The sequence below is a fragment of the Homo sapiens genome, chromosome 20 (assembly GCF_000001405.40).
Source record: "Homo sapiens chromosome 20, GRCh38.p14 Primary Assembly".
Classification (NCBI taxonomy): Eukaryota; Metazoa; Chordata; class Mammalia; order Primates; family Hominidae; genus Homo; species Homo sapiens.
In genome coordinates this window covers 22,449,095-22,467,532 of record NC_000020.11, presented here as the reverse complement: position 1 = coordinate 22,467,532, position 18,438 = coordinate 22,449,095, and the positions used below count along the sequence as shown (strand labels likewise).

Here is an 18,438-nt window from a genome sequence, read left to right as displayed (position 1 = left end):
GTAGGTGCCATGAAACCCGAAGATCCCCTCTACCAACAGTTTTGCTGGCTCTCTCCCTGTCAGAAGCAAAGGCCATTCCAAACGTGAATTCTGCTAGGTGTGCTATTGACTAGAATGAGATGGGGAGTCAGACAGGAAAGAGCCCAAGCTTCAATGGCCTTGTCGCCTCATTTACTGAATAATTTATACAATGTCAGGGCAAAGTCTTCTAGAACCCAACCTGGTAACTGCACCTTTGGCCTGATACCTCCCAATTCTGAAAGAACATATCGATGCTCAGCAGGGACAGAGGGAAGAATCAACTCCCCATCATGGAAAATAAAATGTTCAGCTGGGCAATAATGAAGCAAATGAGTAATGCCCAGAAGACACTACAGGTAAATACAATTATACAGTGAACACAGTGGCTTTAATAAGAGGTTTCTTTGTGCGAGACAGCTGTCCTCTGAGCACCTGCCCAGGACTCTTTTTTACAACAGTCTCCAGCTTTTGCCCCGACCCTGCTTCACACAATGGGGAAACGTACCATATTCCCATTCCCTTTATTTACAGTTCCTCTCCTTCCTGTCTGTGGACTATTGTTTCGTAACCTTTGTGGCTGTGTGTAGATGTGTGTGTCCACCGGGGCTTTGCACTCAACTACCAGCCCCACTATTGAGGTTTGTGTGAAGCAGCACAAAGAAGCTAAAGGAAAAAATATTCATAAGCAGCCCAGCTATCCCAAACCCAGCACTGGTGCCCCATTTCATGCATCTATGTGCCAGAGAACACAAGTGAAGCATGTCACCATCAGGGCCCTCTTGGCTTGATTTCACCTCTGCATCTGCATGAGAAGCTCAGGGAGTCACTGCTCATCGAGGGGTTTGGCCAATGGCTTTTCCAGTTTGCTGTCCACCTAGAATCTCAGCCCCTTCCACCTTTAGCCAAGCCCTCAAAGCGCTTTTTCCAATGGTCCTGAGCCATATGGCTTTCAAGGAATCTTTCTTTTTCCAAAGATCCCAGAAACCATGCTTCACCTTTCACTGTGGAGTATTTTTTTCTTGTTCCAGTTTGTTTCTGGGAAACACACTCTCTGTTCAGGTAGCTTCAGTTCCGGTGTGCTTGCCTGCACTGCTCAGCCCATGGACCTCCTGCTGGAGCCACCTTCTGAAAATGACTAATGAACCTCTCAGTGGCTTATCAGCTATTTGCTACCCTGAACTATTGCAGATATGCAAGAGACATTTACCTTAAAATGCAAAGAAGACAAGCCCATTTACTTTGGGTTCAGGCCAAGAAATTAATCTGAGTTTGGAGGTAAAATTCCTTCAAGTTCAAACCAATGAAGATCTATTTTAGGTACTTTTGATCTTTGAATTATAGAGACTTAGTGCCTTTTTTGCCTGGATACGTTAAACATGGAGGTCACTTTACCAGTTCAAGTTCCTGGGGGAAAGGAAATAATTTCATCATGGACAGGGCCAAATGCTGAAGCAGAGGCTTGACTTTCAAAGGTTGGAGTTCACAGTCCATTGTGTGCTTGGGTCCATGTGTCCACTGTGGTTTGAGAAATGACTTTTATTGGTAGTTAATATCCCTTCTCCAACAGATATTTCCAGGAAAAATATCTAACATTGAGCAATGGAAGCTGGCCTCAATCTGAAAGGTTGTTTTTGCTGTGCTTTTCTGAGAAGAGCCACATTGTCAATAGAACTGTCCCCAGAGAGCACTAATCAATCAGTGTGACCTCCAAAGGGGACCCAGTCCTAATCAGAGGTGAGGCCAGGGCAGATTGGATCTGGAGAGATGCTTCTGTAGAAAGCTGTGTGGGGACCGCATGGTGGCTTCACATCTCACTCCCTGCATTTGATTGTTACCGAGGGACACGTCATTTGTTAATGAACAACACTGGTCACCTTCTGTGTGGTAAGAGAGCCTGCAGAAAAGACTCCTGATCCAAACATTGGTGTTGGTGAAAGGAGATCAAAGAAAGTGTGCAGGAAGAGGTGACTTCTAAGCTGAGTCCTGAAGATTGATTGTCAGTTAGCACCTTAGGCAGCGCTTTGGGTTTAGTGTCCCTGAAAGGAAACTCTGAAACAAGGACCAGAAGTTTATGTGGGAGGTAGTCCCAGGATGCACCAGGGAGGGTGGGGAAGTGACACAGGAAAGGAAGAGGAGGCAGCCATGAAGGGTTTGTCATCATCGGGTTACCACTGTGGAAAACTGGGCTCAGTGCTAATGGGGACCTCTCGGAGAGTCCCCAGTAGGCATGGCATGCCTCCAAGACATCTGCCAGAGGAGAAGGAGGTGGGGTGTTTATCCATCAGCTCCTATCAGTGGCTAATGGAGATTATTCTCAGCCCTGCCTCAAGAGTAGCCCTGAGCTCTGAAGATGAGAGTCTTAAAGGTGCTTGGAATTGGACAGTGTCACATAAGCACACACAGGAATAGCCACTTGCTCTCCCAGGACACGCACAGCATCTCCTGCAGGGAGTTAGGGGACAAGTACCACAGCCATTCCTGGTAGAAGAGGCAGCCTGGAGACCATGGGCTTAGAGAGCTTGGACACTGAGTCAGGAGGGCAAAAGCGGAGAGTGGAACGAAACCTGCCTTGCAGAGCTGGGCGCTGTTCTGTTGTCTCCTGGGAGGTGGTTTCTCCATTCCAAGTTTGCTTAGGCCCCTGGGGAATAATCTGTGACTGAGTTCAGGTGAGAACTCAGGTTCTTCAGCATCTCCCCTTCAGTACATTTGAATCTGTCTCCATATATGTGTGTGTGTGTCTGTGCATGTGTGTGTGTGCGTGTGTGCATGTGTGTGTGAATATGTATATCTGTCAAATCCATGGAAAAACTGATAGGATTTCTAGGAGCCACAGGGACTTGGCTTAAGAAAAGCAGCTTCTTTGGGTCTGGAATGCAGCAGTACCCTGGGTTCAGATTGGGTCAGCCCAATTTGGCATCCCTGACCACCAGATGCTGCTGCTTGCCAGATTCACATAGGCAGAACTCCACGTGCAGGTCAGCATGTGGTCCTCCTGCCTGCTTTCAGCTCTGCCAAACCAGGTCCACAGCAGGGCCTTTGCACTTGCCCTTCTTTTCTCTGCAGCATCCTGCCCAGGGGCCTTTGATAATGGCATCTGCTTTTAGGTCTCAGTTCCAGAGCCTGCTCCTTGGGGTGGCCTCCTCTGAGCTGCTGACTTAGGAGAACTTCTTACTCCCAGCCTCCCTCCCCTTCCTGGGTTTTATTTTCTCTATATCATGCATTACTCTCTAAAATCATATATTCATGTGTCTCCTTCATTTAGCAGGGCCCTTGCCTTGTTCATTGCATTGCCAGCACCTGAGATACATTGCTGAACGAATGAATGAATGGACACAGGAGTAAGTGAATAAGTAGATGAATGAATAATAAATAAATGAATGAAGTGTTCAGCACAGTATTTGCCACAGAGAGAACTCAGTAAAATGGAGCATTTTATTACTTTGGATTAAAAGGAGAAAGAAGAGCCCATTGTAACCTCTACCACAAAAACCTCTCACCCAATTTTGGATTTCTCTTTCTGTTGATAACTGTATTTCTTCATTTAATTTTCTTCCTGAGCTTGCTGTATAAAGATCTTCCTCTCTGTTGCTATATTCTCCTCCCTCCCCTCACCTTTGTTCCTGAGCACTCAGGGATCCCTCCCTACAGTAAGCTGTCAAGACGAGAAACACTCTGGCTGCGATGATTGATGCTCAGTGAATGACTCTCAATGATTATTTTGTGCCTGTGTTTATTTAGCAGGTTTAAGTTTCATTTAATCCTGAGGAAAGGTCCTGGATGTGGACTGGAGATCCATAAACCTGAAAAGGGCCTGCAGGCTTGGTTTGCTTTTGATAAGCACTGAGACGTTGGATTCTTATTGAAATGAGTGGGCCCACCCACCGGGCCCTGCTCCTTTCTCTTCCAGGATCTGGTAAAACTCATTTCCCTCAGTTCATCTCTCACTGGCATGAGTGAGCTCCTCCCAGCAAACAGCCTCTGGCCGCTTGCAGGCCGCCAAACCTAGCAGGTGCACTGTGAACTTCATGCTTCCCACGGAGAACATCTCACAGGGGCCATGTGGTCCTTGTCCTAAGGAGGCAAAGGAGGAAGTTGGTGCCTGATACCCACAGTTAGATAACAAAATGCTTCCAACTCCAGGTGACAGTATAGACAGCACAGTGGGGAGTAGTGGAGACCGTGTCCTGTGGACAGAGCACCCCAAGCTCATTGAGGTGGACCCAGGCCTGGGACTTGGGAGTTGAATTGGTGTGGGCTGGGTGGACAGATTTCACAGGAGGTGCCCGATATATGTGCCAAGTATCTTGATTTCTAAATGCTGATGACTCATTCAATTTTTAAACACCCTATGCCGGCTGAAAAGCAGGTCAGCATGCCTCCAGCTTGTGCATGCGGGAAGCCTGTCCTGGAACCTCTGCAAGCACTCTTGCTTTATTTTTATTTTTTATTTTTTAGGGGTTTTTTTTGCATAAAATCTAGATCCTGCACAGAGCATGCCCTCACTTTTAAGATAACTTACTGTTTCATTTTCTTTTCTGTTAAGAAAAATATTGTTCTTGCAAAAATCTTTTCTTGTAGAAAATACAGATGGATGAAAATAGAATCAATAAAATCCCCCATAAATCTGCCATTGAGAAGAAACCTGCTGTAAGCATGTCAGAGAATGGTGCTTCACTCTCATTTCAAAGCATAGCTTTACATCCTTTCTTGTGAATTCTCGTTTGACTCCTGTAGAGAATGTCTACTGGGGACTACAAACAGCCATCAGTATGGTGGATTTGCAGAAGAAACTGCCCTAAGCTGTGTGTTAAAGGTGGATGGGAAACCGGAGGAGGGCATGGAAGGACAGGCCAGCTTCAGAGGTAAAGAGAAAGTGGCGTGGGAAGGAGACCTGTATGGGGAGAGCAGAAGGGTGGGGTGGATTGCATGGACATCAGCAGAGACTACTTCATCCCCTGCCCTGCTGCTCACATGCATAATGTGGTCGTACACTCCACTGGGCTTCCATTGGCCCTGGCAGTGCAGGAGTGGGGGTTTCCAAATCCAGAGTCCCTTGTATAATAAGACCCAGGTGTCCAGCTCCACTCCACAGGACCAGGAAGCATCCATGGTGTCTTTAAACACTATCAAATATCAAATATCAAATTGTTTTTTAAAACAACTCCCCTCCACTCCTGAATTTGTATGTTGTCTAACTCAGCTTGGTGGTGGTGTAGAATGGGGCATATTTTATCTACGAATTTTTGGTATCTGAGGTGGGTCTGAAAGCATGAAGAGTTTTTAAGTCAAGTACTGTGATTGCCTCTGTCCTCTGCCCACATCAGAGGAAAAATCATCATGTATTCCACAACTGCCTTCTATTAGACTCACTGGATAAGATGGAAATTCTGCCAGTTCTGGTCTGACAAACTTGAAGGTGTATGCAAGTTTAGAGCTGGAAGCTATTGGATTTCTTGTTGTAATAGGATAAGTCAGATTTCCAGGTTGATATGCAAGAGGAGAAGAAATGAACTAATAAGATAGCAGAAAGCTGGCTGCATGAGGTACCCAGCCATGGGAATCATGATACCAGATGAAGAGCAGCTCACATAACCTTTTAAAGTGCTTGGTGTTGGGCACAGTGTGACTCCTCTGTATGAAGCCCAAATAGTTACTGAAGTCTAATTCATTACCAAGTGCTTTGTGTCAGTGGGTTACAAAATATGGGCACAGACAAAGGAGACGTGCCACAATATTGGGATGAAATTTGGAAACAAATAGAAGTTGGAGCCTGGAGACATAGTTTCCTTTGAGAATATAATCCCTTTAGTAATCAATGAAAATGTCAGGAGGATTTTGAATTTCCCTGGAGTATGAGATGAAGATTTACATTCGTCCCTCGGTATCCACGGGGCATTGGTTCTAGGACCCACCTTGGACACAAAAATTCATAGATGCTCAAGCCCCTGATAGAAAATGACATAGTATTTGCATATAACCTATGTCCATCCTCCTGTATACTTTAAATTATTTCTAGCTTGTTTATAATATCTAATACAATGTAAATGGTATTTAAATAGTTGTATTGTTTAGGCAATAATGATAAGAAAGAAGTCCGTACATATTCAGTAGAGCTGCAATTAACTTTTATGGGGGATGGTGAATACTTTTGATCGGAGATTAGTTGAATCCGTGGTTGCAGAACCCCTAAATGTGGACGACCAATTGTAATGTGATTTGACCTGTGCTCAAGAGGCTATAAGACAATTGACATTAGATTTTGTTGTGATTTCTTCAGTTCAGCTGGTAGGCAACAGAGCATATGGTGTACATTCCTGAATAAGATATTCAATTAAAAGTGAGACACATTCCTTGATAGTGAAGCCAATATCCCTATTGCATCCAGACTGGTGTTATTTGTGCAGGTAAAGCAGAAGTAGGGAGAAACTCAAATGCACACAAAGCCAAGTGAAAGTCAGCCTTGATTACATCAAGCTGGCAATTTCAGATTACCTTGTACTTTGCAGAGCAGCAGTACTATTTGCCTCTTTCCAAAGTTCAAATTTCAGAATACCTGAGTATGTGCGTGAGTGAGTAATGGAAATTTGTATCTGGAGGAGGTCTTCTGCAAGGTGGTTATCTCCAGTGGTTTTTGTTAAGTACTCTATATAAGTTTCAAGAGGAGCATGTACCGTAACATAGGTACATGTATTTATTTTATACATACAAGTATATTATTATATCATGAATATTATGAAACACACAAACGTTATTTTTTACATAGTGAGATAAAAATACTTATAAATTTAGGATTTAATATTTTCTTCCCATGCCCCAGTGGGTCTGTTTGTCACTCCCTGGGGTGCAAGCCTGGCTTGGAATACTTCAAGGAGCAACAGGATCTGTCTTTGGAACAGGCATGTAACTTTTCAGAGGAAATGTTTTGGCTGGGTCAGAAGGATGCAGGGAGGGTAGAGGGAAAAGTGAGGACCAGTGAGTTGGGGATTTCTCTTTGTTACCATCCACAAATTGTGATGAAATCTTCCAGCAAGGCCTCTTGAGGTATGCATACCTATTTGCTGAATATAAAGGTGAGCATTTCCTCTTTAGAAGCAAGTCCTCCAGTTCAGGTGTTTGCCACTCAGCGAAGCTAGTAGTACAGATGGCTGAGTCTCTCTCTGGTGGGTAGGGAGCCAGTACACTATCTTGCACTCCTCTATCATCTCTGCCATGAAAAGAGGACAGGGAATGCTTCCCAGTCACCTAGCTCCAGGGACATTAAGTTGCATGGAAAAGAAGGGTCCTCAAACAGCCAGGCTATACTGGTTTTAATTTTGCTTTTAAGAGGTGAAGAGCAATATAGTATGTGTTATTTGTTGAAAAGTTAGTGTAAAATATGGCACAACACTTTTGCCAAAGCTTGCTTTTTGTTGTTGTTAAATTCTTAGGACCCATAAAATCACAACTAATACTTGAAATAATGACATCAGAATATCAAAAATGAGCTACACTCACCATACTTCCTATGCTTAATCAAATATCATTACTACCTGTGTCATGTGACATGGTTGATTTGCTGAGAAGCCCACATTATCCAAGCCCTGGGATTTACCTTACCATGGCTCCTTCCCTCCACCTGCATGTCTGTCCTGCCCACCCCAACAGAACCCCAGAAGTGGCCTAAGGCTGGCAGTGCAGGTCAGGGCAACCCTGTTTGCCTCAGGCTGTGGGCTCAGCAAGTGGCTGCTCTGTGTATTTTATGTGGGGTTTTGTGCCATCCTGAGAAACACTGAGACTGCCAAAGTATTGGTCTGCAGGTTAAGCAAATTAAAAAAAAAAAAAAAAAGCAAGAGATAACATTGACATCTGCTAATTCTGTTTTTTTCTTTATTATTTATTTATTTATTTGTTTTTTAAGACAGAGTCTCATGCTGTTGCCCAGGCTGGAGTGCAGTTGTGAGATCACTGCAGCCTTGAGATCGTGGGCTCAAGGGATCCTCTTGCCTCAGCCTCCTGAATAGCTGGGATCACAGGTGTGCGCCACCACACCTGGCTAATTTTTTTACTTTTATCTTTTGTAGAGACAGGGTCTCGCTCCACTGTGCAGGCTGGTCTCAAACTCCTGTCAGCAAGTAATCCTCCCGTCTCAGCCTACCAAAGTGCCAGGATTACAGGCGAGAACCACTGTGCCTGGCCTTTTGTTTTCTTTAAAACAGCTAAGTGGGGTGGACTCATGAGGACTAGGAGCAGCATGCCTTCCCCTCTACTCCACCCAAAGATTGTGATAAAATGACAACCCCTTTGGAGTTTAGTCATCATTAAAAGCAGTAACTTATTAGACGCTTAATAGCACTGCCAAGACTAATGGAGATGCAGGAAATGTGGGGAAAAACCTCATTGGTCATCTTACAAGAAGCTCATAGATAGAAAACAACACTTACCTGTGCCTGACCTCTAGAAACACCCAGGAGACTTTGGATAGGTGCTTTATACTGTCATGTGGCCCACAGTTACTGTGGATGTCTCAAGATGGGACGTGAGGCATGAAGGGTCACCCAGGTACACAGTGCTCTGCACATGCTCCTGCTTCATTCAGAGCCACACCGAGAGGAAGGGAAGCTCAGCTCGAATCCACAGATGAGAAACTCGCATTCAGAGCAGTTCTGTGACTTACCTGCGGGATTGCTTGGGCGTGGTGATGTGGCATGGCTGGAGTAGGATGCAACATCTCTGCAGGAGAGCCACAATGGCAAGTCACAGACTGCAGACAGGGGATGCCAAGAGGGTTTTGTTTTTCCTTGTGTATGTGCTTGTTTTTATTTTTGTTTTTTGAGACAGGATCTGGCTCTGTCCCCAAGGCTGGAGTACAGTGGCACAATCTTGGCTCACTGCAACCCCCACCTCCCGGGCTCAAGCCGTCCTCCCACCGAAGCCTCTCAAGTAGCTGGAACTAAAGGTGCTTGCTCCTATGCCTGCTAATTTTTGTATTTGTTGTAGAGATGAGATCTTGCCATGTGGCCCAGGCTGGTCTCGAACAACTCCTGGGCTCAAGTGATCTGCCATCCTTTGCCTCCAAAGTGCTGGGATTACGGACATGAACCACTGGGCCTGGCCATTTTTTCTGTGTGTTTTGATAGACCCACAACTTGAATTAAGCTTCATAGAGTGAGTTGGTATAAAGATGAGGATGTGGAGGCAGACACCACCTGACAAAGGCTATGTAAGGGAGTGGGGGGACCAGGAAAAGCAAAACAAAAGGCAGAACTGACTGAGCCAGAATGGGTGCTCAAGTGGAAACACAATTCCCTGGCTGATTCCTGGAATAATAGAGATCCATATCCATGTCTATATTTTATCTCTCTATATTTCCAAAAAGCATTTATGGAGACTAAACATAAAGTATAAGAAATAAAAGGTTTAAATAAGAGTTTGAGAATCATGCAGAGAAAGGACATCATGGATCATACTTATCAAAAGCCCAGGCTAAAATTCCCCATAGTTTTCAGACTTCTGGCAGCCAGTGCACAAAGGAAACTCTGCATTCTACAACTATACAATTTTCATGTCATAAGAAAGAATCATGACAATTTTTAAGAGTTTACCAGATTCATCTGATCTGATTATTAACAAATATTTTATTGTGTACATTTTACACGTCCTACAGTGAAAATGTAATAGTGGATCAAGTCCTAAGCAGGATTGATCAACAGAGTGTGTTGATCTCGGTGAGTCTCTGCTGGTAACATTCTGAATATTGGTGGAAGGGATGAGGATGAGGAGGGGAGTGTTTGTCAGTATGACAAATTCCTCTTCAAGGGAGGGTTCCCTGTTCAGCTGCAAGGATTCAGATGAGCCCACAGCCTCCAGACACATCTCAGCTTGTGAGCTCTTACAGGGCAGCCCCTGGCCAGTGCCAGAGCACAGCAGTGGTACAAGATCCTTGCAACTTCTGCCCAGTGAGGGGTTCTTCCAAGGGGTCGCCTTTTCTCTGAGCTCCCATTGTGGTGGACACAGACTTTGCCAGGTCTGCACTGTGGTCCAATGACCCTTCCAACTTTTTCCTTCCTCCCTTTTGCTTTAACACTGTTATCCCCCAATAAACTCTGCACTCCCAATTCTATCTCAGTGTCTGTTTCTCAGAGAAACCAATGTGCAAGAGTAACTTATTAGAAATTATGTTCCTAATATTATTTATGAGGAATTGATTGAAAGTAGTCCTTTCCATGACCCTAAACTAGTTTTAGAGATTTGCTTCTCTATTTATAACCTGCAGTAAATGCCAGCAGTTTAGTCTGCTTAGAGGGAGACCCTTCTATGTTAGACTCCCTAATGAGACTCGATAAAACTTCTGGGAAAAAAGCCTTGAGTACTTTTAACCTTGTTTCTTGCCTTGATCAAGCATTTTCCTTTTAACTCCTTCCAAACACAGGTAACACACTAGATAGCCTGTTCTCTTTCCTAAATACCAAATCTTTATTTACTTGGCAATTTAGAATTCGCTTCACTCATATAAGCTCATTGACAGTCGCTGCAACAGATAACATAGAAAATAGTCTCTGGTAGGTTGCAAGGAGATTCACGGGGCCCAAGCGACTTGTCCAAGTTCTTGCTCAGAGACATTTGAAGATGGGAATTTGAGGTTAGTTCTTTCAAAACTAGGTTCTGAACCCCAAAGTCCTTGTCCAGGTAAGGATATGCTCTGAATACTGTCATCTCAGGCTGAGGCTGACAAGGTCTCTATGCAGCCTTTAGTTATAATGCAATGGTTTTCTCCTGAAAACACGTTAGTCCACAAGGAAGGTAATTTTCAAAGAAGGCATTGGGTCCCTAGTGATGGCATTGGCTCCTACCTTCCTCCTGGAGACTGCGGTTGGATGCTCCTTTGACATGCCTCATCCCGGGGCATGCTGGCCCTGTTCTATTCACCGTGGAATCAACAGCCTCCAAAGAGCCACGGTGTCTTTGCCAGATGTACTTCAGAGTAGAGATTGTATAAGAGCCAAGCCAGTCTGCTTTCAAACTTAAAATACACACACAGACTCACACACAACCCTAAGGCAGAAATGTACCAGGATCCTACTCCAGAATGTCTCTGGATGGGAATAGGCTGAGACTCACTTGGCCTTTTCACCAGCACAATAAGGGCCTGGCAGGAGCCACATCAGAGCCCTGAAAGAGAGGGATGCCTCTTAAGCTGACAGGCCACCAGGAGGGCATTGCTTTTAATTTAACGTGACAATGTAGTAATTACAAGCCTTCTCTAACTCACTTGCCTGAAGGAACAAAGGAGGATTCTCCCTGGAAGAATGTCAAGGAGTCAGATGGATACGCCCCCTGTTCCCTGGCCTTTTCCAAGCATACCCCACCTCCCCGTGCCCTGTCCTAAGCCAAAGGAATAGAGATGTGGATTCATTTCTTCATACACAAAGACCAGGAATAAAGTGGCTAAAATTAAATGATTTTCTTTCTACCCTGAGAAGAAAGTCACAACCCTCTCTCTGTTGCTCAAACTAAGGAAAAATACAGTGTGGTCTTTAGGAGTTCAATTCAAGTGAAAGGAAACACCCATGCAAATACACATTCACACACATGCAGAGAAAGCCTGTATGTTACACCATCTCTTACTTCCTTTACAACAAATTATCAACCAAAAAAACAAGAGCCTTGTGTCAATCACATTACTAGAAATCCACCCCGATAAATATGTCTTGGGCCACACATTTTTCTCAGGGTAACCGACTGGGTTTTCATGAAGGATTTGTTGAACTGCATAGTGTGTACGAATGATTGCCCCAAAGCTCCAAATATTTATGGCCAGGGCCAGCAGCAGGCGACAACATCTAACGCTGCACTTGGCAGTCTGGCCCCCATTATTCTTGACAATGGGTGGATGGAAGGGAGAACTGTTGAACTGTTTACTACTTCAAGACATTTTAAAAGGTAATGAGTGTACAAACAGCATGGGAAAAAGAGCCCTCTGTAAGGTGGCTTAGAGTCAGGATAGAAAATTCAAACAATATTAGCCTCAAAAAGTCAACATTAGACACCCTTCTACTAAGGACCTACAAACAAACAGAGTTACTCTGTACACACACTCACACATGCAATTCCACGCCACTGTGGCTTTCACCTTCTCAAGCCCTGGGTTCATACGTGCATTTGCACAGGACTTGGAAGTTTTCGGAACGGAGGGGTTTTGTCTCCTGAGAGCTTTCAGCATTAGGACTCGTGCACCTGGCTTGTCCAAGGCAGGTGAGGGCAGGGAGAAACCGAAATTCAGGCCAAGACTGGGATGTGTTTGGCCCTAAGACCAAGCCACACTCCTGTGTGTGGACCAGGAGAGGCTGTTGGGTTTTCCATGACATCACAGTTCATCGAGACAAAGTGCTACACAACAAACACCTCTTGTGCACAGACACCCTCATCCTACAGAATTAAAAGACAGAAGTAACTCTTTTGAAAAGTCAATCATTAATAATGGAAAGAAATCCACCATCTTGTCCTCTTCTTCACACAGACCTAGAGAAGGCAGGTACTTGCTTTCCATTCAAGCATTGAATATGACAAAGAAAATAAATTCTTTCTATTTTTTCTGTTTTGTGAGAGTTAGTCTCCCACTATTGAAAGATTGCCCTATTTCTGTTCAGCCAAATCTGTGCTTCTTATTCAAGGGGGACACTTGGTTACTCATACATCTATCTGGAAACAGGAGATTGATTTCAGAGGATACTTGGTTTTCCACTCCAACATCAGGAGTAATCTACACTCTGATAGGTCTTGTGTTTGCATGGCCTTCTAATTCTTTGCAAATAAAACCTGACAAGAGCTACACACAAGGAAAATTGCCAAAAAGATGTGCATGGGAAAGATTGTGCCTCCCCCCAACCTCTATTTCCTGAGTTTACCCCACATATCTTATAAAATCTAAAACAGTGTTACCTGTGCTTAAGGGTTTTCATAGTTTTGAAAAATGAAGTCGCTCTTTGTCATAACATCTCAAGAAGAAGTAAAACAAAAAACAGAAAGGATATTCTTCAAAAATACATTTTCCAAATTAAATTGATCACAGGTTTTTTCAGCCTGTTTTTTAAATGAAATTATGCAAAGAGGGAAAATTTAATATTGCAATCAATAGAGTCCCACCCTTTTATAATGCCAGGTCTTAGCTCCCATTGATTTTTTAGCTAGCTGCATAAACTTAGTTATGCACAATAAGAATTTCATGCTACAAAGAAGAGAAAATGACTTTTTCCTCTTGCAGTGAACAGTAAGAGCAGTAATTGTAATCTCACAAAATAGAAGTTTTATTCTCAGCCTTTAGAAACTATAGAAGGGGAAGGCAGTACATCTTCAGACGATTTTCACAGATACATATGTGTGTGTGTGTATGTGTGTGTGTGTATATAAAGCAGAGACAATTTGTAAAATTTGGAGAAAAAATATAGTGTCTTAGTTTTGACAATGACAATGTGGTATGATCAAGTTTGCTGCAAGGAGGTGTTTCAAAGATTATTTTTATTATGACACACATTTCCCCAGAAAATTCTCTCTAGCAAAAGGCATCTCTAAAAAAGAAATCCTCCTAATTGTGGTTGGCTTAACGCCTCTCCAGAGTAGGTCAATAGCACACCCAGCGCAGGTGGCCCACCGGCCGCTCCCCGCCTGGCGTCTGATAAAGCTAGTCTCTTCCCTGGATCAAGGTATTAAGGTTCGGGTTATTTGTATTGATTTTATGTGCCACTATGCTGCGCTAGCCATGCTCATATCTGTGGTTCACAAATTCCTCTTTAAAATGTCACCGCCATTTCATTTCCTCTGCATCAATACTGCAGCCAGAGGGGCTGCTTGTTAACCTCCGGGGCTGTAGTCTTATCAGATGCACTAGGACACTGCATATTCCCAAAGTTTTCACAGACATCAACAATGCAGGGGGTGGGTGGGGATGAGACTCTTCACAGAAAAAAAAAGGGAAAAAGAGAAAAAAAACAGAAAACTTTTAACTATTTTTCTTTTGATGTTCAGAAGGATTTTCCCTCTTGCCCAGGAAACCCTTGGAAATGGATCCGCCCTCTAGCGGTTAACAAGGGAGCTGAGGAATAATGGGATTTGACATCATTGGAAAGCACAGCCACACCCAAAAACAGGTGTGTGCACAAGAATTTCTGAACACAGATTTTACCAGCTACACCCACACCCTCAATTCTACTTGAAATTAATCTTAAAGAAATTTTGAATTTGCTGATAATTTGAGATCAGTAAAGATTTTCCCTGAAAGTTCTAAGGTAAGTCTTTCTCAGTGAAATAGGTAAACTAGCCATCTAATAATTGTAAAGATACTTTTCCTCCTCAGCATAGAGTAAAACTAGCCTTAACTGAAATCCAGATGGAAATCTACACACAGGCACAGTCATGACTCTATTTATCAGTCTACGGTGATCCTTTAACAAACATGCAGCGGGGTAAAAATAAAACACATGTTTTCCCTTATTTCTCTGTAAGCGCTTACTTAAGGTTTTATTATATTTGGCCATGGGACATTCAGTAAACTTACTGATGATATCAAAGAATGATTTTACAAACAGTAAAAGTTACACTATTGACACCTCCAAATTCTGGAGTATTTACATTGTGTTAGGTGCACACTTGCTCAGGGAGATTAACAAACATTACTAGAAAGGCTGTGGCCAAATCCACCCTAGTTGTTTATAAAACCTTTACAACTCATCAGCTTCCACTAACACACTGGCACTGTTCAATTACCATCAGTGTTAGAGAGCCTTAGCAAAACATCTAGTGCCCATGTAAATAGACAAATCTGAAAACTAGCTGGTCTGTTGGCTTACATACTGTAGGTAATGTTTTCTTTTGCTCAAATTTGTTCTGGAAACTAATCACGCTCTGATAAAGCCATCTGCAAATATGAGAAAGATTGACACCCACATGTCAAAGTTTACACAGCCTGACCAAGTGTACATATAGTGCAGATGATGTGAGGGCTCCGCTGTACAGAGCTTCTCCGGGGCCATGTTGGAATGGAGCTCTGGTTGAGAATGCAGGTACCACTATCTACATTAAAGCAAAACTTGCCAGTTTCCTTGCCAAGCTAAAACTCTTCCAAAAGGATGGGTGCTTTTCTCCATGTTCATCATGGAGTTTTAACTTCATTCGCCCAGCATTACTAGTCTAGGGCGATGGAATGATTATCGCTTAGCGAATTCCAAACCCAATCGCTTTTCTACAAGTCACTAAAGCTTTAATTTGTCTAGAAAATGATAGTAACTTATTGTTCATATGCTAGAAAGGATAGCATAAATATCAATAGGAGTAATGATATGAAATGGCATTTGTCTAGAAAGTCACAAGTTAACTTTTTACTGTGCATGGCCTAATTTGCAGGAAATGCTTTATACATAGATTTGTCCACCCATGCTCAAAGAAAACCCAGAATAAAAACCTGAATATAAAGCAGATGGATTACCAAACATGACTGAACACAGCGAGGAATTCATCTTCATTTTACTTTGGCAATAAACGTTTCTGATTTAGAGGTACCTGGAACAATTCTCTTTTTCCTGGTTGTTGTCCATGTTTCCCAGAAATATACCCAGTGGATCTATTGCCTGATCCTGATCCCCCCTCTTTGGTAACACAATGAAAACCAACATCAACAACTATGTGGAAGGGTTTGTTTGTTGTGAACTTATTTTGACTCCTGATGCTCATTCCTTTCTAAGAGCTCTGAAGTCATATGATTGAAATTTTATTCTTGAATTTTCTTAGGGATCAACTACAAATTTTCTCATCATTTCCAGAATGTAGCCTAATAATTCTTTGAACGATATGGCAACATTTGCTTCTTCCTAGCCTTCTGACAATTCTCATGATTGGTTTCTCTTTTTACTTATCAAGTAAAACCCTAAGATTTCATCTGCCAGATCTTTCCATTTCCATTGTAAAGTTGGACAATTTCTTAGCCCTTCACCAATTCTGGATTTTTGAATCTCTCCTTCAAATTTCCAATTTAAAAATCACTCTTCTTGATAGATTATTAAATCTATATCCAGTAATGGGTTTGTCACTTCTTTGTTTGTCTTTATCTAAATGTAGCAAAATAAACCCATCTGGTGGTTCTTAGATTTTAGTTTTTTGAAAGCATCTAACTAACACCTAGTCATTGGTTTCTTTGAAACTCTTTGATGGCGACATAGTTCTGTGTCTGTCTCTGTCCATCTTTTGTGTATTTTAAACAGCACAAAAGAAATCTCATTGTCCAGACACAATTGTTTAGATGCATTTATCTTTATAAACATATATATTCCAACGTTTTTCAAAATAAAGTCTTATGATCAACAACTCATAGGTCTTACATAATAGCAAATTTTCATGAATAGGATATATACCTAATTAGCTGCCCTTGTTATTTTAAATACTTACTCTATTTACCAAAAATCGACTGAGCCAACCTGCCAACTTGTTTTTAAGGGCACATGATTATATTATATCTGTGTATATCTCTTTCACGTTTGCCCAACCATTTGAGCTGCCTTTGATCATAAATATCATTTCTAGAATCCCATAACCTCTTTTGTATAGTAGTTAGCTACACACGTTGATATGAAATGTGCAATAATTTTACAATGATTCTTGTCAAACAGAAGCCTTTTCTACCTTAGATCATAAAACTTAATTTCCAATTTCCTCCTCCCAAAGAAGAAATGATCTTTGCCCCCAAGTGGATAATTGGATCATGGAGGCAGGTAATAGCTTAACAGTTACTAGGTAATATTACCTTAGAGGAGGTGGTTAAGGACAGGATAATAACTCTGGCTTCTGAGGGGATGGGTGCAAGGGGAGCGGCAAGAACTTCTATTTGTTGAACATTTGTGCTGTGCCAGACACTGGTCTGGTGACCTTGTTATTGGCACTTAGCTCATCCATTCTCCACTTGCCTCCTAATTTCTTCTCATGCCACTCATTCTCTTGCTTCATGCCCTTTAGTGGTTTCCAATAGTTCTTAGCACAAACACCAAGCTCCTTTGAGGCCTGGTATGGTTTGGCTCATGCCGACGTTGTCAGCCTCAGTTTTTTGTCTTCGTCTCTTTGTTTTCACTGCCTCACTGCCACTAACCTTCTTTCCTTTGGCCACAACTGTTTGGTTCACCTGGGTATCCCAAGCCCAGTCTGTTTCTGGCACAGAGTAGGTGCCAAATATATATTTCTTGGGTGAAGGAACAAATAAGTGAATGCATTTAATCCTTTCAACCATCCTAGGGTAAGGAAATAGAGGGTTATATGGATTCGGCCACATGCCTGAGTCCCAGCTCATAACAAGGAGAGGTTAACAAGGTCTTAGCCACGCTATTTAAATTGCTCTCAGAGCCTGCATCAGATCCATGTTAAAACCCTTTTGCAGATGAAGAAGCACACACGGTTGAACTGGCTGCCCAAATACAAGGGAGAGATAGTGGGGAATATGCCCGCTAACTGCATCCTGAAGCAATTTTCTTTCCCCTCAGATGTGTTTACCACCTATGGTGTTCCTTGAGAGGTTTTATTTATCTGTGGATTTTCTTTGAAGGAAGGCAGCCAGAGGAGGTTTCTTAGAAGCCAAGGTGAGAATTAGTAAGATGCATTGATATGGCACCTTTTATAACACTGAAAAATGATCATTAGACTCACTCTCAAGGATGAGGGATTTGCATTTGGCTTGCGTTGTGCAAACAGGGCTTTTGTTGATTTATCAACAGGACTTCGCTTGGGGTTTTGGATTGGATTCCAGAGGTTGGCACCTACGCTCTAAAAAATCTAAACAGAAGGAGAAAATAAATCACCAACTGGCACTTTAAAGACAAAGATTTATACCAGATTTAATAAACTTCCTGTCTTGCTGAGCATGAGGAAAATGTCGTGTTTACCCCGATGCTCTCTGCTCCTGGCAGCGTGTGTGCTGAGTTGGAAGGGCTGCAGAAGTGGGTCACGCTCACCCAACTGGAACTCGAAAGACTCATAGAGAGCAAGCACTGGACAATGGCCTGGTGTCCATGATGTATCCCTGCCTGTCGTTACTAATCCTACTCAGGGCCAAGCTGGAGAGAAATGTGAGTCAAGTCATATTGTCTTGTGTGGGTTCCCTAAAAGCAGACCCAAATCGAAGATTCAAGCACAAGCTGTTTATTTTGGGAGTGATTCCAGGAAACAGCAGTCAGGGGTTGGGGAAGTGAGAGAGGAAGGCAGTCTGGGAAGGTTATGCCATGAGGCCAGTTTCCACCATGGGCATGCAGAGCTTAAACCTGCTGGGGACCTCTAGGAGCCAGCATCAAGCATGTGCCTCAGATTTATCTCAACCAAGGGGCGAACGAGCTCATGTGCCTATCTGCTAATTCTCTCAGGGACTGGTCAAAGGCTGCTCCCAGAAGCATTAATTCCTCAGGACATTCA

General features: G+C 42.9%; 1 long non-coding RNA gene across 2 annotated transcripts, besides 1 other annotated feature; it reads left to right on the top strand.

Annotated features, from left to right (window-relative positions):
* The first annotated feature begins 287 nt into the window (after positions 1–287).
* LOC105372562 (uncharacterized) lies at positions 288–17,891 on the top strand. 2 transcript variants are annotated; one of them, XR_937337.3, is made up of 4 exons: positions 288–377; positions 4,756–4,883; positions 14,045–14,282; positions 17,748–17,891. It is a non-coding gene; the product is annotated as an uncharacterized LOC105372562 (long non-coding RNA). The 2 variants fall into 2 exon arrangements; XR_937336.3 differs by having other exon boundaries at positions 14,023–14,282.
* Positions 10,716–11,530: an enhancer, noted in NCBI's record as "OCT4-NANOG hESC enhancer chr20:22436641-22437455 (GRCh37/hg19 assembly coordinates)". NCBI's record gives its function as "activates a minimal SCP1, AML or CMV promoter by ChIP-STARR-seq in naive H9 embryonic stem cells {active_cell/tissue: H9 hESC(naive)}" and the evidence as "EXISTENCE:reporter gene assay evidence [ECO:0000049][PMID:30033119]".
* Positions 17,892–18,438: the final 547 nt, after the last annotated feature.